The sequence below is a fragment of the Homo sapiens genome, chromosome 20, assembly GCF_000001405.40.
Source record: "Homo sapiens chromosome 20, GRCh38.p14 Primary Assembly".
Taxonomy (NCBI): Eukaryota; Metazoa; Chordata; class Mammalia; order Primates; family Hominidae; genus Homo; species Homo sapiens.
Window position 1 is genome coordinate 61,512,605 of NC_000020.11, and position 23,365 is coordinate 61,535,969.

The 23,365-nt window shown below is 51.9% G+C and overlaps 1 protein-coding gene across 4 annotated transcripts in view, besides 2 other annotated features; it reads left to right on the forward strand.

Annotated features, from left to right (window-relative positions):
- The window catches only part of CDH4 (cadherin 4), a 688,357-nt gene that overhangs the window by 260,344 nt on the left and 404,648 nt on the right, over positions 1 to 23,365 (forward strand). The window lies entirely within an intron of this gene.
- Positions 946 to 1,455: an enhancer, noted in NCBI's record as "H3K4me1 hESC enhancer chr20:60088606-60089115 (GRCh37/hg19 assembly coordinates)". NCBI's record gives its function as "activates a minimal SCP1, AML or CMV promoter by ChIP-STARR-seq in naive H9 embryonic stem cells {active_cell/tissue: H9 hESC(naive)}" and the evidence as "EXISTENCE:reporter gene assay evidence [ECO:0000049][PMID:30033119]".
- Positions 18,847 to 19,348: an enhancer, noted in NCBI's record as "H3K4me1 hESC enhancer chr20:60106507-60107008 (GRCh37/hg19 assembly coordinates)". NCBI's record gives its function as "activates a minimal SCP1, AML or CMV promoter by ChIP-STARR-seq in naive H9 embryonic stem cells {active_cell/tissue: H9 hESC(naive)}" and the evidence as "EXISTENCE:reporter gene assay evidence [ECO:0000049][PMID:30033119]".

Here is a 23,365-nt window from a genome sequence, read left to right on the forward strand (position 1 = left end):
TCATAAGTAGTCACTTAGAAATGTTCCAACACCGGCACCCAAAGAGTCACTGACATGCCAGGGCAGCGTTTCCAGGACTCACCGTCTCATTTCTCAGTGGTGCCTGGGGACCTACAGCAGGTGGCCCTTGGGGGCCGCCGCTGATGACAAGCACGCACATCCCAGGAGCACGTCCATTCCTGACTCTTCGAGGAAGCTCATGGCTGTGAGCACAGGAAGTGAAAATTCCTGAAAGAGGACCGACCTCTCAGTCTTCACAGGGACATGGATGGATTTGTGATTGAGCTTGTTCAGTTTGTGTGTTTGTTTGTTTTTTGGGCCAATTACAAATTCAGTCCATGAAAATCTGATTGTTAACAGTAGGATCAGAGCCCCCGTAGAGTTTTGTTTTTTTCCATTTTCAAAGCACATGTGCCCTCTAACTGCAAAGTGTATGAAGGAGGCCGTGCTGTCAATGAGCAGTGCCTCCCTGGAAACCTTGTGGGATTTTGTCCTACAGGTAGGCCGTCCATTCCTCCCTTTCCAGGCACACACAGCCAGCAGCTGCCATTGGCCCCTTCCATCTGGCCTGGAGCCCTGTCCTCCTGCAGGAGGTCTCAGGGTCTGGCCCTTCCTGCCCCAGGGACTTCCTGTTGCTATTGCTCAGGCCCACGGGCTGTGATGCCACAAGGCTGCTGGGCGCAGGGTGGAAAGGGAACATCCACGGTCTCTGCAAGCTGGCCAGCACGACTGCGGGGGCTAACTTCCTTCTGGAACGGACCCTCTGTTGACTTTACACAATGTTAACAAAGGGCCTGGGGCATCTGAGAACTTCTGTGCTCATCTCATGCCAACCTCACAGCAACCCCACAGGCCACATCCTTGCCATCCTCTCCAGGCTGCAGATGGAAACCAAGGCACAGAAGGCACCAGGCCGCCATGGCGCACGGCTGTGAAGGAGGAAGCCGGGCCCAGAATTCCGTGCTCCCTGGTGTTCTAGCAACAACATTGCTCTCTGGGGCTTTAACCCATGCCACCTTCCCTCTAAGCAGTCTCACCTCTGAAAATTGACCAGTTTTCTTTTCTCTGAAACACAATTTTAAAAAGCATCTGACAACCACAACCTGTGTCCCAAGGAAGCTGTAACCAGCTGCAGGTGAGAAGCGACCACCCCTTCCCTAGAGTGGAGGCCCCTCTGGCCACCCACTCACTGGACACCTGTCCCAGGCACCACGGGCCTGGCATCTGAGCCCCACAGCATCTTCCCTTGCTCCCTGTCACTGTTACTGAACCCATCTGGGGTCCACTTGCCCAGCACAATAGAGCCAAGCGTCCACACCAAAGTTTCACAGCGGGAGAAAGGAGGGCATTTATTTGCAGGGCGCCAAGCAGAGAGAATGGGCAACGCCCACTGGAGACCTGACCTCCTGGCTGGCTTACAAGCAAGAGTTTTTAAAGGCAGGGGCACGTCTCAGGAAGGCAGAAGCTACAGGCAAAATCATAAATCAATATGTGGCTTAAAAAGGACATCTTGAAGTGAGGGCTGACAGGTCATAGGTGGATCCAGCGATTCTCTGATTTGCAGTTGGTTAAGGATTTGTCTAAAAGCTTGAGGTCATCAGAAAGGAATGCTAAGGTCTGGCTGCTGGGTATGACTTTCTTCAGACCCCTCAGGAAGAATTTTGGAACAAAAAATGGGGGTCAGGGTTCAGGCCTCAGTCCGCCCCCCCCGCCCCCCCCCACCCCCACCCCCGATGTCTATGTGACAGTGGTTGGCATTTTCTGTCTGGTGGGGGTCCAGGTTTCTGAAAAACAGTTCAGGGATGTAGATCAAGATGTTATCTTGGGTTTCCATAGGGAACGAACATCTTGTGGTTCTAACTTCCTTGGGGGGCTCTTGTTTTAGGCTACTGTTCCCTTCTCGCTTTTATCATGTTACTCATTTACTTCTCAGGGCTCGCTGGGTGCCTGGAATTTCCCTTGAAGGCACTCAGGATTTTCCTTTATTTCCATGTTGCGGGGCCTAGCAGGCCCCTAAAAGGGGTCCCTGCCCTGTCTCATCACTGGCTTGTCAAAGGGCCATAGGCAAATACGCACTGGGGCTGAGGTTTGCTGGTAATAAGTACATGGACATGACCCTTGGCAATGCAGCTGAATTGAGACCAATAGATTTATTGTGCCTCTCAAAACACAGATTGAATGTGGGCCTCGATATTCATTGTCTCAAGAACAGCTCTGGAATTGTGGGCAGGAGGATTTAGAAGGTCATCACTGTAATGTTTTCTACAAAAGGCACCTGGGCGGCAGCCATGGGGTGGGGGGAAGGGCCCAGGACCTCCCTGGAGGCCCAGGGCACACCTGCCTGCACCATTGCCTGGCATTGGGGCGGGGGCGGGTGGCACGGCTGGGCCTCTGCCCTGCACCTGAAAACAAGACGCCAGCTCTTCTCGGTTTCCTGCCAAAGTGCCAGGCACAGAGCCTGTCATTCACGATCATGTAGCGAGTTCAGAGAGAAGAAAACTGGAATTTTTTGTTTAATGCAAAATGTCCTTGCTTTTGCATTTTGGCAAACAATTGAAAAGCTTTAACATCTGTGGGTGGCCCAGCACCGGCAGGCCCTGCTGCTGTCCATCACCATTTGAGCTCCCGGTTCTGGGGACTCCCCTGTGTGGTCACCCTCACGATGTGGCCTGGGAACCTGCGGTGAGCATACAGCAGGAACCTGCAGGTCCCAGATTGTCAGAAAGGACGCCGCAGTCCCCAAAAGCTGCATGTATGATAGGGGAGCACTGCTGGCTGCACCTGCAAAGCCAGTGAGGACCCTCCTGGGCTCATCAGCTTAGATCCTGGTTTTCCCTGGATGGGAAGGGGGACCCTCCTCATGGTGGCTGCAGAAGGATGGTGTGGGGCTTTTCTCTTTTCCCCTCTGTGCTACAAAAGCTGCCTGTTGGGAGTCGGTTGTCCCTCCCTCCCTTCCTTCCCTCCCAGGTGGCCTTCGTAAAGATGTAATTGACCTGTGGATTCCACCAGTTAGAGGTGTCACTCCACACAGAAGTCCCAGGCACAAATGTCCAGCACTTCCTGGATGAGATTCAGGGCTCCGGTGTAGTCTACCCCGCCTGGCCATTGCCTCTCTTTTAGCTACGACTGGGAAGGAAGGCTATGATGCCCAGTTACAAATAAAGGCAAAATAATCACGTCTGGCTTTTTTTGTTCTTGTCGGAAATCTACTCTCCTAGCTCGCTCTCTCTCACTCTGCTCTTGTTCTCTCGCTCTTTCTCATTTGCTCGCTCGCTCTCTGTTTCCCGCGTGGCTTGCCCAGTTCCCCTGGAGTCTATCCCCCCCATCCCGCAGTCTATCCTGCCATCCCTCACCCCTCCTGCCTGGTTTCCTGGCTGCTCCAGGGTAGAATGCAGAACTTCTCCAGCCCCATCTTCCCCTGGGCTCTGGAACGCCCCCCCAATACGATTCCACCGCAGGCAGGCAGCTCCCTCACCACAGGGGCTCGCCTCGTGCTCTGCGTTGCACTGGCAGAGGGGCAGCACAGGACTTAATTCTGCAGCCAGGCCCTTGGGCCGTGGGCCGGAGGGGACGCTGGCCACCTCTCTTACCCTAGAAGCTGCGGCAGGTGTCCGCCCTGGGGACTAAGCAAAACAGGGACAGAGCCACCGGCCCCACCCTAACAGGAGCAATCCATTCCTGTTCCTCTTCCTGCTCCTTCCTTACATCCCGTCTATTAATGCCATGGTCCCTGAGCAGTCATGGGACCAACATCTGTCACACACATACAGAGCCCCCGTCGGACGCTGCATGAGCTCATGTGCATCACCTCCGACTCCTCATCACCAGATGCCGCTGCGGCTTCCATTTTACAGACCGGGAGGCAGAGCCCCAGAGGTCAAGCCAGATGTCCATGTTGGGGAGTCTAACGGCAGGTTCTCACCGCCCTGGAAACTACATCTGCCTCAGACCTGCCCCCCTGAGTCACAGCATCACAGAAAACAGTTTACAAGGTCATCTGGCAGAAAGCTCAGTGGCTGAGCTATTTTAAAGCAAAGTATCAGACCCTCAGAGAGGCCGGATTGATTGTAATAGCACAGGGCTGCAGCACAGGCTCAGGGTGCAATGTCAAACCGCGGCCCTGCCCGAGAGCAGGCACTAAAAATAACCAGGCTCCGTTCCCAGGTCAGTGAGTGTCGGTTTGGCGATCACACTTGCTTTCTTCTTGGGAACCTGGGCTCGCTGTCCACACAGCCCCTGCTCCCCTACTCCCTGGCTCCTCGTCCTAGCAAGGAGCTCCAGGCACCCTCAGCCTGTCAACTTTTCAACTCCTCCAGCGAGTCCTGTGTTTGTAACATGGGGTGTTTTCAATGTATTGGGATGTCATGCACGCCCTGAAAAATGCAGGCATGATTAGTACCCAACCAGACAGCTCTGCACAGACTGCAGAGCCCAGTGTGGCCAGCACCCAGCTTGAGTCACACTCCATCTGCCCTTCCAGAAAGCTCCCTCAGGCCCCTTGTGGCCACGATCCCTTCACCAAAGGGTAACCAGATTCCTGTATTCCAACTTTCTAGATGTTGCCTGACTTTGAACTTCGGGTAAATGGAATCCCTTTTTGTTTTTAGAAATGAGATCTCACTCTGTTGCCCAGGCTGGAAGGCAGTGGCGCAGTCACAACCCACGGCAGCCGCCAACTCCTGGGCTCAAGCGATCCTCCCACCTCCTGTGGGGCTGTGTAGCTGGGGCCACAGGTGCACACCACCTTGTGCAGCTAATTTTTTTACTTTTTGTAGAGACAAGGTCTCGCCGTGTTTCCCAGGCTGGTCTCAAGTGCCTGGCCTCAAGCAATCCTCCCACCTTGGCCTCCCAAAGTGCTGGGATTGCAGGTATGAGCCACCATGCCTGGCCTATAGACTTTTGTGTCTGGCGGCTTTTAAGAGTCAGACTTGTTTATAGTCCCCCCAGTGGAGGATGAATTCAAGCACAATTCCTGCCTTCTTCACTCCTGACCTTGGAACTTGGCGGGTGGCTGAGCCCCTTGAGCTGCAAAGTGAGGAGAATGACGGCAGCGCCGCTGTAGGACCATGGAGGGAATGAACAAGGAGGGGTTGTCGGACGTGTTCAGGACAGGAACAGCACACTCAAGGTCACCATTCGTCTTATTCTTGTCAGCTATTATATGTCTGATTTTATGGTTTTCATCCTGAAATACGTGGTCAGTCCAGGGTTCATCGTTTTAGCTGAGTTACCTCTTATTTCATTTATTCTCAGTTCCGTCCCATGCAGGTGCCTCACAAAACCCATATACCCCTCAGGGTCCCTCCCCCAAATGCACAGACACAGCCAGACAGCTTCTGGGGCTGATTGCCCCTGGATGGGCCTCTCGTGTGGGGCTGGGGCAGGAGCTGCCTGCCTCCCCGTGCGGGGAGGATGCCTCAGCCCAGGTTACCTGATCCCTTTTCAGGCGCTATTTTCCCCATGCAGATAAGGCCCTCAGTTTTCTAAAGAATTTGCAAGAAATCATGACGCTACTGCAAGGGTTTAGTGCTCATTCTTCACTCACTGTGTCTGGGACACTAGGTGGGTGTTTATTCTGCCATCATCCCTTTATCGAACACCACCAGTTCCTAGGACGAGGAAGCCCGTGCCTCTCCACAGGCTGACTGCATGGTGGTGGTATAATTCCCACTATAAAGTGGAGGACTCCCAGGTGCAGAGATGGGCTCTTAACCACCTCTTCCCTATGCTAAGTCTGTTCCACCTAAAGGAAAGGTACGTTATCAGATAGGCTGGAATTTGGCCAAATTCTCTGTTATGATGAGGCTGTCCATCATCCATCTGTCATCCACTCATCATCCATCATCCGTCATCCACCCATCGTCCATCCATCCATCCTTCCATCATTGATTCATCATCCATCCATCCGTCCATCTATCATCCATCCATCTATCCATCATTCATCCATCATCCTTCTATTTGTCATCTATCCATCCATATATCATCCATCCATCATCATCCACTCATCCATCCATCCTTCATCCACCTAACCATTTATCCATCCATTCATCCTTCCATCTATCATCCTTTATTCATCCATCCTTCATCTACCTATCTGTTGTTCAATCATCCATCCGTTCATCCACCCATCATCCATTCATCCATCCATTCGTACATCCACCCATCATCCATCCTTTCATCCATCATTCATTCATCCATCCACCCATCATCCATCCATTAATCCATCATTCATCCATTCATCCACCCATCACCCATTCATCCATCATTCATTCATCAATCCACCCATCATCCATTCATCCATCATTCATTCATCTACCCACCTCATTCATCCATCATTCATTCATCTATCCATCCATTATTTATCCATCCATCCATCCTTCATCCATCCATTCATCCATGCATTCCCAGGATGCACACTCATGAAGCCCTGTCCACCACCCCAGATGGGCTTTCTGTAAGTCGCTGAGTATGACCATCACCCCTCCAGTGGCCAAAGCCTAGAAGCCAGGTGCTTTAATGGAAGTTTCCACCACAAATTTCTGGACCCTTGGCATCCCATTCACAGTCCGCAAGGAAGAAGGGCTTAAAAGCTTAATAACATTTGGGACCTTCATAGGATGATGTGTGCCTCTGTCTTTGAAAACTGACTTCAATCACTCTTTTAACACTTAATGACTTCTCAGAAAATTTGATGTCTCCATTCTAGACATGAAGCAGTCATTTCCCAGCACTGTGTTTCTAGCCTCTGGGCTTTGGTTTTATACCCATGGATTCCAGTCTAGAGGCAGCTGCAGCAGCTGCACATGCAGGTGCCGGCGGGAGGTCCTCTGATCATTCTGTGCAAAAGCCTTTTTGACCAAAGGAGCTACATTTGTTGTCCTTCCATCATGCTTAACTCCTTAAGCCTCACGGTACATTTTCTCCAAAGGCATTGTGATGTGACGGGTCTGTGTTCAGGCTCCCCAAGGAGGCTCCCTGGTGCCCCGACCCCGAGGAGGGCTCATAGCACTGGCCAGGCAGCGCTGCCTCTCGGGCTGCTGCGCCAGCATCGCAGGGCGATTACCCTGTGCTGCTCTCTAGATGGGTGTCTATTCTTTCGTTGTTCCTTAATCGAATGCCACTAGTTCCTGGGCGCAGGACGCCAGTGTGTCTTCACAGGCAGACTGCGTGGTGGTGGTATAATCCCCATTACCACGTGGAGGAAACTGAGGTGCAGAGATGGGCTCTTAACCTCCACTTCCTCAGGGCCCTGACCGCTGTCTAGAAGGGCCTCGTCATGCCCACCTGAGACATGACTGCCTCGCATTAGTGGTGCCCGCCGACTCTGCCCACCAACTGCTGGGCCACATGGGCCCTGTTCCCCGAAAGGCTCAGATCCATTGTATGAGATTCCCCAAGACCCTGCTGACACACAGACTTGCGTGTGTCAGTTTCTAGGCTATTGACTATCCATTGATCTGCCTGCGGGTTTCTACCAAGCATCTTCTTTGGGAATTATTCTGCCCAGTGCTGGTGAGTGGGCATCACCAGCAGAAATGCCCATGTCCATGGAGACACCAACTCAACCCATCTGATCTGTCTTCCAGTCTCCAAGGCGGGGTGATAGTAGTACCTGCATCTGAGATTGTTGCCAGGAGGCCGCCTGTGTGGGACTGTCTGCAGAGCCCAGCACAGGGTGACTGCCCAGTCCTGCTGGTGCTGGACCCTGAGAGGCAGTGCTGCCTAGGAACCCAGGCTCCAGAACCACACCCTTGGGTTGAAATGCCACATCCATCCCTTGATAGCTGTGTGACCTCAGGAAAGTCACTGAGCCTCTCTGTGCCTCAGTGTCCTCATCTGTGAGGTAGAGATAACCCCGATGCCTTCCTGGAGGGGTGGTGTGTGTGTCAAGGGAGCTGTCTGTCAGGCCAGCGCTTAGCACGGAGTGAAGCACCAGCTAAGCAAGTGAGGGCTCTGGCATTGCTGGTTGTCAGGCTGACCAGGCCCTGCCTATGGATCAGGCACCAGGCTTGGCATTTGGCGCATAGTTTCCTCTTTCATCCTCTGAGCAGCTCAGTGACGGTGATGCGGGTCTTTTCCTTCTTCTGAGCATCGGGAGGGAAGCGGTAAATCAGAGTGCACGCCAAGGCTTCCAGGCCCCGGATCCTGAAGACTTAACAACCCCCCGTACTGCTTATTAGAGGTCTTTAACCTGAAGGAGCTTCAGTCTTGTTGGGAAAGCAGGATTATAATCATCCCACTCTGGCAGGAAAATGAAGGGAATAATTCAGAGTTCAAACAGGCAACCGCACTTAGTGGGCGAAGGGAGCAAACCCAGGTCAGTGCAGCTCTGCGGGGGTGCAGCTCCAGGGGCCTTGAAGGGCGAGTAGAATTGAGGTTGTGGTGGGAACACAGGAGGGTCTCCCAGGCTGCAGGGGGGCCCGCACCCACCTCCTTATTAAGAACTAATTGTGGTCTGTTCTGATTTGAAGATGGCTAGTGTCTTTTGCGATCATCCCATCAGAAAGGACTTCTGCTTCCCTCTTTGCTTACCCTGACGCATTTGTGATGATGACTAATTTCCAGCACGTGTGGAGGGCTGCATATTTCTGCAAGTCCCGCTGCTTCTGAGCTCCTGCCAGATAGGCCCATTGGGAGCGGGTCTGTGCTCACAGCCTCCTCCAGCAGTGACAGGAACGGCCTCTGAGAGGAGGGGCAGCTAGACAGCAAAACCAGGCACCGTTTTCCAAAGCTCCATCAAATGCATCACTTGGGGAGTATATTTTAAGAGGAGGAGAGCGAGTTTGTAGGGATCGTAAGAAGATGGGAGGCAGCGTCAGCCCTGTCTCTCTTTTGCTGGAAGGTTTACAAGTTGAGCTCCAGCTCCGTGAACAAGCAGCAGTGAGAACCGTGGGACGGCACACCACAGGCTTCACTCACTCACTCTCCAGGGGGCCGCCAAGAAAACCAGTGGTGCCCCCACTTTACAGAGGAGAGGCTGATGTGCAGAAACCTGAATTCAACAAGGTCGAGGAGTCACTGGGATTTGAACCCAGGATCTCTGGTTCATGAGCCTGGCTGAAACTAGCCATCTTCAAATCAGAACAAACCACAATTAATTCATAATAAGAGGGGGGTGGGTGTGGGCCCCCCTGCAGCCTGGAAGAGCCTCTCAGGATCTCTGGTTCGTGAGCCCGGCCGTCTGTATCTCTCTGACCCAGGTTTGGTGATCGGCCCCCACTGTGTTGCCAACAGGCAGTGCAACGGCCGGCCTGTGCTGATTTTAGTCGCATTTCCTGTTGGAGGTCTGCAAGCATTGCGGGCCACCTTGCTGTGACTCATGGAGTTTATCTTCCTGCCACAAGTGAGCATAGATCTTGGTGTAACTGGTTGAAGGTCCGCTTATTAATTCCCATGCATTTGCCAAGAGAGCGCAGAATCGTTTGTATGTGGTGAGAGTGAAGCTGTGTCCCGTCTGTGGGAGCTCTCAGAGATTCGCAGGCCTTCTCCTGAATTCCCACCTGGCCTCCCTCGTGACAGTGGCGTGGGCTCCTGCTTCAGCTTGGCAGCTCCCTGCGTGTCCACCTCCGTCCTCTGAGGTCCTCAGGGGCCTCCAGCCAAGCCTCGCTGTGATACCCCCTCACCCCTAGCTTAGCCCCGGACCCAGTGGGCACGTGGAGAGGCCGGATCGGGAACCCCCCAAGCCAGTGGAGCGGGTGGGGAGGGATCCCAGACCCCAAGGGATGGGGCCAGATTTCCTCCCAAACCCCTCCAGCCACTGAAAACTGATGCATGAGGAATAGCCACTCGTGACCTCGGTAACCATGTGTGAGGTGCTGCGCCGTCCCTGACACCAAATGTCGCATCCATTAACGTTTAATTCAATCTTTTTCAATATCACATTACAATGTTTCCATCTTGGAATGGAATGGTTATGGTTAGCATAAATCTGCCACGTACACAGAGACTTCATTTATATTAGCTTTTATTTAACTTAGTAAAAGGTAATTTGTTTTTATTAATTGATTCATTTTCCCCCCAGCCAGGCAAGCAGCCCCACTCGGAACTGCACGCACGGCGCAGTCCGGGTGGGAGCCAGCGCTGCCCTTGTTCACCCGGCTGCGGGCTGTTGTCTTCCGCGGAAATGGCCGCGGGCTGTTGTCTTCCGCGGAAAGTTTAATTGACGGCCCGGTGCCGGTGTGGCCTTATTATCTGCTCCTCTCTCCCTTCGGTTTTTTATTTTTGAAGTTATCCTGGCCAGTTGATTAGTCTAACACTTACTACCGGGTGGGCCGGAGCCCTCTGCAGTGTTCTGCTGTACACAGAGTGCAGGGAAAGCACACAAAGCTGCCGACACGCAGGTGCATCTGGCAGTGCCCTGGCATCAGGATGTGGCCTGCAGACCAGTTGGTAGCTCCATCAGCCACCGGCCTCCAGGAGCAGAGGAAGGAGCAGGAGGGAGGGTGCCAGGGAAGGCAACCCACACCAGGTGACAGGCGGCATGCATCCTGCTGTCCAGAGCTGGCCAGCACTGTCCATTCACTGCCCATCCTCCATCCCTCTCCCTAGCCACAGAGGTGGGAAGGCGGCTCCATGCCAGAACGGTGCCTCAGTTTCCTCATTGCTGCTGGAGCTTTCTCACCATCAGGAGGCCTCATCTCAGGCCACGGCCTACTGATCCAGGCGACTCCGTCTTTGGGTGGAGCTGCGGCACTGCCAGCGGGCCCACGCTGGTCTCTGCTCGCCGGTCTCTGCTCTCTTGTCAGGTGACCATGCGTTTGCCACGTGTGATGATTGCGTGGCATGGCGTGCTCCTCGCACGCACAGACACACCCTTCCAGCATTCCAGCACAACACAGAGAAGGCATTTGCCTCCGTCATTCCCCGCCACGTGCTCTTCCAAAACCTTCCATGGAGGCCTCTTGTAAATCTTCCTCCCTCTGGCAGCCTCCTCTCAGCAGCCCAACTTTTTACTAAGGTTCATTCTATAAACACCAGGGCAGATTGCAGCTGTCGTGCAGGGCATGCAACAGAAAACAGGCCCGGGGCTTTCTCCCAGCTACTTTCCTGGGGGACGGATGGCCACAGTGGGGCCAGGAGGGCACCACACGCTTCCGCCGCCCATTTAGGGAAGAGACACCACCCGTCTGCGTCCCCGACCATCAGTGTGGATACCTTTGCATTCGTTATTCAGTAAATAGTGAGCTCCTTTCACTGCCGGGGAGACCCCTACCCTCTCCAGGTGGAGTTGTAATGCCAAGTTTTTCTTTACCAAAAAAGTCAAATTAAAAATGGCTAAACAGTTTCTAATGACTGTAGCTAAGAGCTATTTGATGGACAACACCCGCCACTTTGCTTGGATGGTGTTATATAAAGAAGCAAGATATCTGACGAATTCACCTATATCTACCCATTAAAAGACCCAGAAGCCACTTGTGAACTGTAGGGCTTCCCAAAAGCATGGCAGCCGTGACTCCATCTGTCTCTAAACATTTACCTGGGGAATGCTGTTTATTAAAGCTATGGGAGAAAACCCACACAACTAAACTAAAATCCCGAGCTTGCTGTGGTCCATTGGGCTGCTTTGGTTTATGCTGCTGGGGTTAGAGGAACATTGCTATGGAAAGGTCCTGTTTCTACCTGGAATGCTTCCCTACTGGAGACACAGTCACTCTCGAGTCATTTAAAAATACCCAAAGGAGGGCACGTGAAAACCCGGGGAAAGCTGGAGAAGACCTGGACCTGCAGAAAGCCTGGACACCTGCATTCGTGCGATTGTGTCGGCATCCTATTCCCGCATTCAACCGTGGGCTTGGGTCATGATGCATGTCGTCAGCAGAGGAAGCTGGGTGAGGAGTACTCGGGACTCTCTGCACTAATTTTGCAACTTCTATGAATATTACACTTTTTTTTTTTTTTAAGACAGAGTCTCACTCTGTCTCCCAGGCTGGAGTGCAGTGCTGCAATCTCAGCTCACTGCAGCCTCAACCTCCTGGTCTCAGGTGATCCTCCTACCTCAGTTCCCTGATTAACTGGGACTGCAGGCACATGCCACCAAGCCCAGCTAATTTCTGTATTTTTTGTACAGATGGGGTTTTCCCACGTTGCCCAGGCTGGTCTCGAACTCCTGAGCTCAAGTGCTGCCCACCTCGGCCTCCCAAAGTTCTGGGATTACAGGTGTGAGCTACCACACCTGACCAACTGTTTCAAAATTAAAATTTTTAAATGCATTTTTAAATTCCATTCTCATTCATTAGATAATACCATTGTAGACAGATTTATTGAACAAAGTTTCCATGCCCTTGAACAAAAGCCAGAATCTCATACACAGAAGTGACCACTCCTCACCCTGTCCACCTCCAACATCTTTCATTTAAAAAAACCTTCTTTCCACTGTGAACATAGACCTGTGTGGGACCCACCAGCTGGCTTCAATGCCAGCTTTTCATTGCCAAGTCAGAAATTATGCGGGGCGGGTCATCTTCTGAATGATCTCTCTGTTGTCATTAAGCTCAAATGGTGCCTTTGCCAGACCTTGCCAGGCATGATTCCCGGGTTTTATCCTAATGCCCATTTGCTCAGTCATCCCCCCTATAATTTAGCTCAGCTGGAAGGTTCTGGTGACTGGAGACCAGGCTGGAAGAGTGGAGGTTTGGACAGGGAATTGAGCTGCCTGTGGTTTTGGAAGAGCTTCCCTGGGAGATTTAGAGAAGCCCCAGGAGAAAGAGGGTCAGGAGGGGCTGGATTCTGCAGCACTTCCTTGGGTTTGCCCAGTGCTGCCCTGGACAGTCTCCATCACTCAGGGCCCCCCAACAGGCTGGGGAAGCGGGCTGTGCTCACCTCCTGCAGGCCCCTCCCAGGATACTGAGGATGCATGCGGTGAGCAGGGTCTGTAGGCTGCTCAGCCATGGCCGTGAACCCAGGAAGTGTTGCCTTCCCATCCAGGAGCCTCTCCAGCTAAGCCCCCTCCAGCTGCAGAAGCCGGGACTTGCTGAACTCTGAGAGAGCAGGAGGGGAAACGGATTGATCAGGTAGCTGCCGTGTGCTCGGCTCTGTGCTGCGGCTGTACCCGATCTCGTTTTCTCCTTACTTACTGTTATGTTCTTATTGATTAGCTGCTGTGACTGAGAAACTCAGAACTCCCAGGGATTCTGCAGGTTTCTTTCCGGTTCATGTCACAGACCCCTGCGGCTGCCCCTTGCCTATCCTCATTTCAGGGAGGAAGACTCTCTCTGTCTTAAGTCTCCCAGCTGCTGTGGCCGGGCCGGGCACCGTAAGTCCTGCTCATAGCCCAGAGAAAAGCGGAGCCACCGGGAAGGAAATGCCATCCCCACTGACCCTGTGGGGACAGCTCAGCGTTGGTGGTCAGCCAATCAGCTTGGCCACAAAGTTAGCCCTTTAGTTATCTCCATTTTACAGAAGAGGAAACAGAAGTTCCAAGAAACGAGTTATCTTGCCCAAGAACACATGGTCTCCCAAAACTCATGCAGTAATGACAACGTGGCTAGTACATGGGTGGGGACGTGGACACTGGCTGTTCCTTCCGAGTCTCTATGGGTCCCTCTGTCCCTCTCCTGCTGGTGCCCCTCCCCCTCCCCGGGTGGTTCTGTCCAGCATTTCAGAAGTCTGCCCAGGCAGAAGCAGGAGGATTCTTCTCTTCGTAGGGATAAACACGACCCGCCTGGCCTCTGTATGAGTCAGGATCCAAGGACTTAACTTTATGCAGAAGGAAACGAAGCCCTTTCTAAAACACGAGTCCCCCACCCAGCCTTCCTGACATCCTCGGTGGAGGCAGCCCGCCCAGGTGAGTGCCGGACCCCTCACAGGAGCAGGATGTCTCCTCCGACGATGGACTCATGTTTATATAAGTCTAAAAAAGACCACATCCCTGGCTTGTTTTTTTTTCTTTCTTTTTTTTTAATTTATTATTATACCTTAAGTTTTAGGGTACATGTGCACAATGTGCAGGTTAGTTACATATGTATACATGTGCCATGCTGGTGTGCTGCACCCACTAACTCGTCATCTAGCATTAGGTATATCTCCCAATGCTATCCCTCCCCCCTCCCCCCACCCCATCCCTGGCTTTTTAAAAAAAATATTATGGGGCAAGTGATTGATTTCATGATTGTTGGATATGAGTGATGGGGAGACTGGTTTCAGTTTCATGATTGCAGTTGTCATGTTTCCGAACTTCCTAAATAGAGCTTTATTTTTAAAGATCCTACAGTCTTACATCAAGTTAAAAAGGTTGCTGTCAAAATCAAATGGCATGTCAATTTTAATGAGCAACTGAAAAATTAACAAATGTAACGTTCTAATCTAATTATGTTCTTTCGGAAAGCTTTTTGAAAATTGATTCAAGTTTGATATGTCAAGCGTTCTACCGCCAAGGCAGCAGTGACAGTGTGTGGGAGCCCCGCACCGGGACCTTCCCGACGGGGCTCCATTGGCCTCCGTGGTGTCTCTCTAGCTTTGGGATTACTTGCTAACGCTGTAAAACTTTTCATGAACTACGCGCACATACAGAGAAAGTGAACAGATTGTCAGCCTACCCCTCTGCACTTTGACAAGAGAATCACAATCAGTAACCAGCGCCCAGGCGCCCCTGGCACCCTCCCTAACCTACTATCTCCCAATAAAGGTAAACACCAGTTTTTAAACATAAGAGCTTTTTTTTTTTTTGAGGCAGAGTCTCACTCTGTTGCCCAGGCTGGAGTGCAGTGGCAAATCTTGGCTCACTGCCATCTCCACTTCCCGGGTTCAAGCAATTTTCCTGCCTCAGCCTCCTGAGTAGCTGGGATTACAGGTGTGCGCCACCACGCCCAGCTGATTTTTGTATTTTTAGTAGAGACAGGGTTTCACCCTGATGGCTAGGCTGTCCTCAAACTCCTGACCTCAATTGATCTACCTGCCTCAGTCTCCCAGAGTGCTGGGATTACAGACATGAGCCACCGCGTCCGGCCACTATATTTTTTTAAGCATAGCATCTGTGCTTTTTAAGCAGGGATCCATGCAGTGAGGGAGGAGAACCTCTATCATCTGAAAGTCTGTTCTGTTCAATGCCCCATGTGGTTTGCAAAGCATGCGTGCTGTTTTATATGTTTCTTTTAAAAGATGGGGAGAGGGTCCTGTCCTGGTGTCCCCAGTGAGTGAGGGCCTTGTGGAGACGTCTCGTGGTTCTGGTTTCCTCCCCTTCCAGAGGCATCTCGGGTGGTGTCCTACTGCATGTGTGCCACGCCAACATGACAAGACGGTCTGTCAGGGCAGCAGCACTGGGCAGGAGAGCTCTGTTCCCAGAACCCGGGGCACCGGCGCTCACCCTTTCCGCATCTTGCTCTGGCTTTGGTTTTGAGAGTGGTGATGTCCCATTAGTGCCCCTGACACTTTGGACAATCTACGCAGCATTATTCCAGGGTATAGAGATAGTTAAAGCAGGCCCAGCTCCTTTTCTTAAAGGATTTACTGATTAGCTGGAAAACAGGTAACTTTAAAAAAGAAGAAAAAACAGGCTGGGTGTGGTGGCTCACGCCTGTAATCCCAGCACTTTGGGAGGCTGAGGTGGGAAGATCACTTGAGGCCAGGAGTTCAAGACCAGCTTGGCCAACATGGCGAAACCCCATTTCTACTAAAAATACAAAAAATTAGCTGGGAGTGGTGGTGTGTGCCTGTAATCCCAGCTACTCAGTAGGCTGAGGCAGGAGAATCACTTGAACCCAGGAGGCGGAGATTGCAGTGAGCCGAGATCATGCCATTGCACTCCAGCCCGGGTGAAAGAGCGAGACTCCCTTTCAAAGAAAGATGAGAGGAGGGGAAGGGAGGGGAGGGGGGTGGAGGGGGAGAGGAGGGGAAGGGAGGGGAGGGGGGTGGAGGGGGAGAGGGAGGGGGAGGGGGAGAAAATACAGGCTGGGCACAGTGGCTCACACCTGTAATCCCAGCACTTTGGGAAGTCAAGACGGGAGGATCACTTAAGCCCAGGTATCTGAGACCAGCCTGGCAACGTAGAAAGACCCCATCTCCACAAAAAAGAAAAGGAAAGAAGAGAAGAGAAAGAAGTTAGATGGAAGGAAATGCAAAGTCCCCAGAGAGGGGGAGAAGAGGAGACCAAAGCTGCGGGAATGGAGATGAACAACGATGATTTAGATAGGCTGGAAATTGCCCTAAGATGAAGCTGGAAGCATGGCGGGGTTGCATCCTGGGCAGTGCGGGGCCTGGCTGCTCTCCCGTGTCTGGCCGTCCTTGGAAGGGGAACTCGTGATGATCTTGATTTTTTTTTTTTTTTGTAACCAGTGCACCGCCCTTGTCCCTTATTATTACAGATTTCTTACGGTCCATAGATGACATTCACTGATGTGGGGAATTAGACATTTTAGAAAGGTTCCCAACAGAGGCCAAAGCAGGAAGGGTTTTCTGGTGAAATGTTCGGTTTTCAGTCAGCCTGGAGTATTTCGTTCCTAATAAAGATCTAATCACAGAGATTTTGGGTTTCAAATCCATAGGAAGGAATGACCATTTTCATGGTGAGACATTGATATTTCATTCCTGAGACCCAAAGCCACCTTTGTAACCTTTCAAGATCCTTTTTGATTGTGTAAACTTCAGAAGTCTGGAGATCTTAGATATCAGGAAGATAAATTTACATAGGTAAGCACCATAATTCTTGTTCCTCATATATTTTATATTGCATCATTTACATAGGCTTTAAATATCCAGTGAATTGTAATAAATGGGGAACTCATAATAAAACTGGTAATAAAATGGATTATTCAGGTGATGCTGTTTTATTACAGTCTCATTATGATTATATAATCCTTATTAAAATCTGGACCAAAGATGAATTTCTCACTGGAGGCGCTTCACAAGTACTTTAATAAATTCTATTTGTTGCACAATCCTGGGGTGAATGTTGGTTTTTATAATTTCATACAAATGTGTTGCAACATGCCATGGAATCTGACTATAGGAATCTGTGCAGTGAGGAAAGAGAATCTCTGTCATCTGCAGGTCTGTTCAATGCCTCGTGTGGTTTGGGAATTATGTCTGCTGTTTCATACGTTTCTGTTGAAACATGGGGAGAGGCCCTGTCCTGTGTTCATGGTGAGCGAGGGCCTTGAGGGAACGTCACATGCCTCTGTTTTCTTCCCTTCCTAGAGGTATCTTGGGTGGTGTCTTCAGAACTTCTCGTTCTTGCTCAAGGTTCTTTTATTGGAAGAGCTGTCTGATGGGTGGAACACACTCATCAGTGTAATTTTTCTTTTCTTTTCTTTTTTTTGAGATGGAGTCTCGCTATGTCACCCAGGCTAGAGTGCAGTGCCACAATCTTGACTCATTGTAACCTCTGCCTCGCAGATTCAAGCTATTCACCTGGCTCAGCCTCCCAAATAGCTGGGATTACAGGTGCCTGCCACCATGCTTGGCTAATTTATTTGTTTTTGTTTGTTTGTTTGTTTGTGTGTTTGTTTGTTTTGAGAGGGAGTCTTGCTCTGTTGCCCAGACTGGAGTGCAGTGGCATGATCTCAACTCACTACAACCTCCGCCTCCCAGGTTCAAGCGATTCTCCTGCCTCAGCCTCCTGAGTAGCTGGGATTATAGGGAACCACCCCACACCCGGCTAATTTTTGTATTTTAGTAGAGATGGGATTTCACCATGTTGGCCAGGCTGGTCTCGAACTCCTGACCTCAAGTGATCCGCCCCTTCGGCCTCCCAAAGCACTGGGATTATAGGTGTGAGCCACTGCGCCCGGCCAGCATTATGTTTGATCTTAGCTGTTATGGCTGTTGCCCCAGTGGCCCTTCCTTAGAATCCTACCCTGACACAGTCTGGGGCCTTTTGGTCTTGACTGAAGCTGTACATGGCAGAGCAGAGTCACGCTGAGTGACTCTGCCATCACTGTGGTGGAGGGATGCCGTGGCAAGGGGACCCTGCACGGCATGTACTGGGAAGTAGCCTCTTCCCCTGGCTCCCCCAGAAAGCTCTATCAGGCTGGATGAAAGCCAGAGCAAGCCAGGGAGGCAGTCGAAGGAGAGTCGCAGAGGCCCTCGGAAAATAGAGAGGCAATCAGAATGCTTTGGCTAGAAAGGGGCTGTGTCAGAAGTGTTTGATGCCATGAAGTAGATGGATCTGTTACCCTAAACCGTGGATGCTGGATCCAGGAGTGAGGGCTGGGGAGCAGGTGAGCGCACAACAGAACGAGTGAGGGCAGTCCTGCCCTCAGCCAGATCCAGCATTAGAGACAAGTATCTCCAGCCTCTTGCAGCCTTCTTCACTGTTTTATCCATAGCTGCAGCCACAGCGCTGTCCAGGGAGGAGGTGCTGAATACGTGTTGGAAAGAATCAGCTGCTCCGAGGCCCTGGCTGTCAGGACAACTAATATCTATGCCAATAGTTCATCTCTAGGCCCCCAGATGGGTGGGCCAAGGGAAAAGCAAGGCTCAACAGCCTTCAGGTTTTGGAAATTCGGTACACAGAGCTGCTGAGGGCTGCTGAGGGAAATTCGGTACACAGGCACCAGAGGGAGACCTTGGACCTGACCTGCTATATTTGAGCTCTCCAGCTGGGTGGCCTCCTCTTGCCTCACTTTTCTTATCTGTAAAATGGGTATAGCAGGCCAGGCATAGTGGCTCATGCCTGTAATTTCAGTACCTTGGGAGGCCGAGACAGGTGGATCACCTGAGGTCAGGAGTTCAAGACCAGCCTGGCCAATGTGGTGAAACCCCGTCTCTACTAAAAATACAAAAATTAGCCGGGCATGGTGGTGGGTGCCTGTAATCCCAGGTACTCAGGAGGCTGAGGCAGGGAAAATCACTTGAACCTGGGAGGCAGAGGTTGCAGTGAGCCAAGATCGTGCCATTGCACTCCAGCCTGGGCGACAGAGCAAGACTGCATCTCAAAAAAAAAAAAAAAAAAAAAAAGGGATTTAGCAAAAGGATTTACTTCCATTTGTTATAAGGTGGAATGAATTAATATGAAAGAGCCGAAATGTGTGGCACATGAGGATGTGTGTTGTAAAAAGCTTTGCTAAGTTAATTTAAATAAATATTTTCTGGATGGCATTCACGGACCATCCCTGGGGGTGGGCTGGAGGGCAGCGCCAAGTGCATGCGTGGACATGGATGCAGCACGGTGGAGCCCCAGCTGGCAGGGGCCACGGATTGGCTTTGAGATGAGGCCGGGATGAGTCATCAGCCTGACGCACAGGCCTGGAGCGAGTGCTCTCAGAATGCAGACTGGAAATTGGATGTGGAAACTCACTTCGACCAACACCGGTTGGGGAAGCACAATTTTAAAAGCAGGATTTAGATAAAATGCTTATTAGTAAAGTGAGGATTATCCAGGATTTTAAAGTTTGTTCTTATCTTCTGCGCTGCTCAAGTGAGGAAACGAGGTGGCTTCAGCCTGTGGTGGAGGATCCTCAGCTGTGGAAAGCGTCGGCCAGTCTCATAGAAGTGGCGCCTGTTGCCGGCCCTCAGGCTCTGCCACTGAGGAGGAGAGGCGGATAAAACACAGGTGTGAGCAAGACCCTAAGAAGCTGCTGCCCTCCGTGTCCTGACTGTGTGAGGACACACTGATGACACCATCCCCAATCGCCTGCAGGGCATGGACCCCACAAAAGGGGCCACCCAGGAGGCACCCAAGCCCTGAGCACCGTGAGTTTGCTGGGTTTTTCTCTCTGTCCCCTGCCTCCAGGCGGGACTGCACCTAAACTAAGTCATGTCCTGGTTTCTTTGTTCTTCTATGGTCTTCACACATGAAGGAGGTCCCATGTGTGGGACCCTGGCACCAGTTCAACACGAGGCGGCAAATGTAAAAATGGAGCCCCGTATGAAAATGAACCTCTTCGGTTTCAGAACTCAGAGACCCTGAAATCTGACCCCACTCCTTATGTCACCTGTGACTCATCTTTAAAAAGACCCGCATCTCACCACCGTTCAGTAACAACAAGTGCACACAACAGAAAACGATGAGTAAGTGGACAAGGGATATCAGTGCAAAACACACAAGCAATGCAAGCAGCGAGTCTGTGAAAATGCTCTCCTGCCCCAGAAATCAGTTAAAAGCAAACCAAAGCACCACGTTTCTAATCTGATCAGCCAATGTTTTAAGGTTTGATGTGAGGTGGAGCAGGCTCTGGGGAGACGGGTTCTCTGGCCGGGTTCTAGGGGAGATTGGGGAAGGTGTTTTGGCGGGATCAGTAGGTATGAAAGGCATGTGATGAGTTTTCTGTGTCCCGTAACCAGTTCCCACAAGCGTAGCAGCTGAAGCAACACTCCTCTGTCTTCTCAGAGTTTGGCAGGTCAGTGTGGCGTAGCTGGGCTCTCTGCTCAGGTCTCCCTGCGATGCAATCAAGGTACGGGCCGGGGCTGGGCTGTGGTTCTTATCTCAGGCTCAGTTTCACTCCCAGGCTCACTGGTTCCTTGGCCTGCTTTCCAAATGGCCTCTTCTGCAGGGAATGCCAGCTGGTGTGGGGCAGGGGGAGACAGCTTCAAGGTGAGGACCCTGAGAGGGACCCTGAGAGTGAAAGCCGAGGAGAAGGAAGCTTGGAGCAGGCACAGAGAAGAAGGGGACTTGGGTTGGGGGTGACTCAGGCCACTGAACTCAAGGTGGGAGCCAACCTCAAGGAGATGGAGGGATCCACAACAGCCAGTGCCACGGCCCAGACAAGGAGTGGCAGGGCGATGGGGGGCAGGCCTGGGCACGGCAGGCGGCTGGGCGAGCAGCACGGGGAAGGATCGGACACCCAGGACTGCCCGCCAACTCCGAGCCTGCAGGGGCCCCTGGTCAAGTGGGTGTGGCTGCAACCCGCTGATGTAAAGCTGCGTCGCCCAAGTCCTGCTGCAGAGGCAGCTAGAGCTGTGCTCGTCTCTCCATCCCTTGTCCTCCCTAGACAGGAAAGACCCGCGTGGCCTGAGAGGGCAGGGCATGCCTGAGGACCGGGGCTCAGCCTCCCTGGCGGGGCCCTGGCCGGGGCTGCTGGAGGTAGGAGCACTGTCCCTGCCTTCCTCTGCCCATGAGGGGCCCCTCTGGCTGCCTCACTCTGCAATTAGAGCTACTTCGGGTACAGGGGCCATTAGCACTGCCGCCTCCTGCTTCATGGTTGCACAGGTGCCCCATGAGACTAGATGGGCCCCCACTCTTCAAGGGGAATAGATGGGGTGAGGGCGTGGCCATGGGGAGCATGGGCTCTGCAGACCTCGCATATATGGAGCCTAATTACCCACAACCCTGGTGGGAAGGAGGGAGCCAGGCAAATGTGTTTAAAACCTCAATATGGGACCAAAGATGCTTCTAGAAAAGTAACCCCAACTCCCACAGAAGCATCTGACTCTGCAGCCTCCCCATCCGAACTGTAGTTGGGAGGTGCTTCTTGCCATTGCTTTTGCTTTCAGACAGGAATCCCCACCTCCTGTTTAGAGAGATAAATGGACTGAATGTTAACAGATTTGTTCCATTAACATATTCGGCAATAGGCAGGCATGAGATAGCATAACTCAATTTCTATCTTAAATCATTGTTTTAATCTCACACTTGAATATCATCATTTAATTTGTACATCCAGCTGGAAATATTGATTTTTGGAGGCATTTATTCTGTGCATTATGTAAAATTCTATTTGCACTCTGCTATGGAAATATTACTTTGTGGCTTAAAATATGATTGAGAGTGTTCCATTTTTTCTTGTCATGTCTCATGCAGATGGGACACTGTGGCTTCGCTTTGCATTGGGGAGGGTATCGGGGCAGGAACGACCACACGGGGCAGGAGGATGGTTTGCTAGAGGAGGCAAAGAAAAAACACTGTGCAATTTGCTGGTTTCCATGACTATGCAACTCGTAATATGCATTCCATATTTAATACACTTTTTTAAAGGTGGTAAAATAGCAAATCACAGGCTCACCGCCGTGATCGGAGGCTGAGAGCCTGGAAGAGCTCCCAGCCAGCTGTCTGCAGGCACCTGATGTGGGAGGGCACGGGACCGGGCCGGAGGCTGAGGCCTTGCGGTGTTGCTGTCCTCTCCTTCTGCAGGGATCAGATTCTAAGTGGTGGTTTTTTCTTTTCTTTCTTTCTTTTCTTTCTTTCTTTCTTTTTTTTTTTTTTTTTTTTTTGAGGTGTTTTCCTAAACTTGTGCCAGCTGTGTGGTCAACCCGACGGCCTCCCTTGCTGGGACGCTCCTTTGGAGCAGCCTCTGGTGGGACAGTGGCAGAGATGCCTGTTCATCCTCAACCCGACGGCCTCCCTTGCTGGGACGCTCCTTTGGAGCAGCCTCTGGTGGGACAGTGGCAGAGATGCCTGCTCATCCTCAACCCGATGGCCTCCCTTGCTGGGACGCTCCTTTGGAGCAGCCTCTGGTGGGACAGTGGCAGAGATGCCTGCTCATCCTGGATCCATTCAGAAGCCAGCCCTGCTCACTTAAAGGGACAATCAAATAGATGAATTCCCTCCTCCTGGTTAATACAAACCTTTGCAGACTCATGTGGAGGTTCTGTCCTTAAAACCAACCATTCCCTCCAAGGGGCATGGATGGGTGGCGCTGGTTGAGCCCTCACCATAGTTGATCTACTGAAACCTGTGACTGGGCTGGGCATTGCCATGACTGATTCCTATTTCACAGGCGAGGAAGCTGAGGCTCAGAAGTGCGACCTGATGACCTGTAACTTCAGTGGCAGATCCAGTAGTCTCGACTGGTTCCCAGCAGCCCTACAGTGGGGCAGGCTGAGTCAGGTGCAGAGGTGCCCTGGCCAAGGGGACAGCCCCGGGGCGGCCCTCAGGCTCAGCCTCGTGGGCACGGATCCCATCCCCAGGCCCACGGAACAAGGAAGGGCCTGGCTCTTGGAAAACCCAGGTCCATTTGTCGAGGCAGTTGCTGACAGAGAGGAAATAATGGTTGTAATGTCAAGCTTGGGGAAAAAATCAATTTGTAGTTTTCCCAGAAAGCCTTTTAAGTAGAATGTTTTTAGAAATAAATTACATATGGGAAAGTCAGAAGCAGTGACATAATTTGTGGGGCCTGGTGCAGGATGAAAACGCGGGGGCCTTCTTCAAAAAGCATTGGGACTTCCCGAGGGCAGCAGCAGAGCATTCACCTGGTGCGGGGCCCTTCTGAGAGGGGGCCCGGGCTGCATACCCCTGAGCCTCCATGGGGAGGGTATGGGGGCCCTTCAGTGCCGGTCCTTTGGGCGTTTGAATCCCCTGTACTCGCCCCTGAGCCGCCATGGGGAGAGTGTGGGGGCCCTTCAGTGCCGGTCCTTTGGGCATTCGAACCCCCTGTTCCCGCTCCTGCCCCTTTGCACTGTGCTCCTCTAGGTTAGACGCCCTTTGGGTTTCAAGGTGGCAAGCAATGTTGTGCCTAGCTGGGAATCTAGCCACATCCTGAAAGATTGGGGTGCT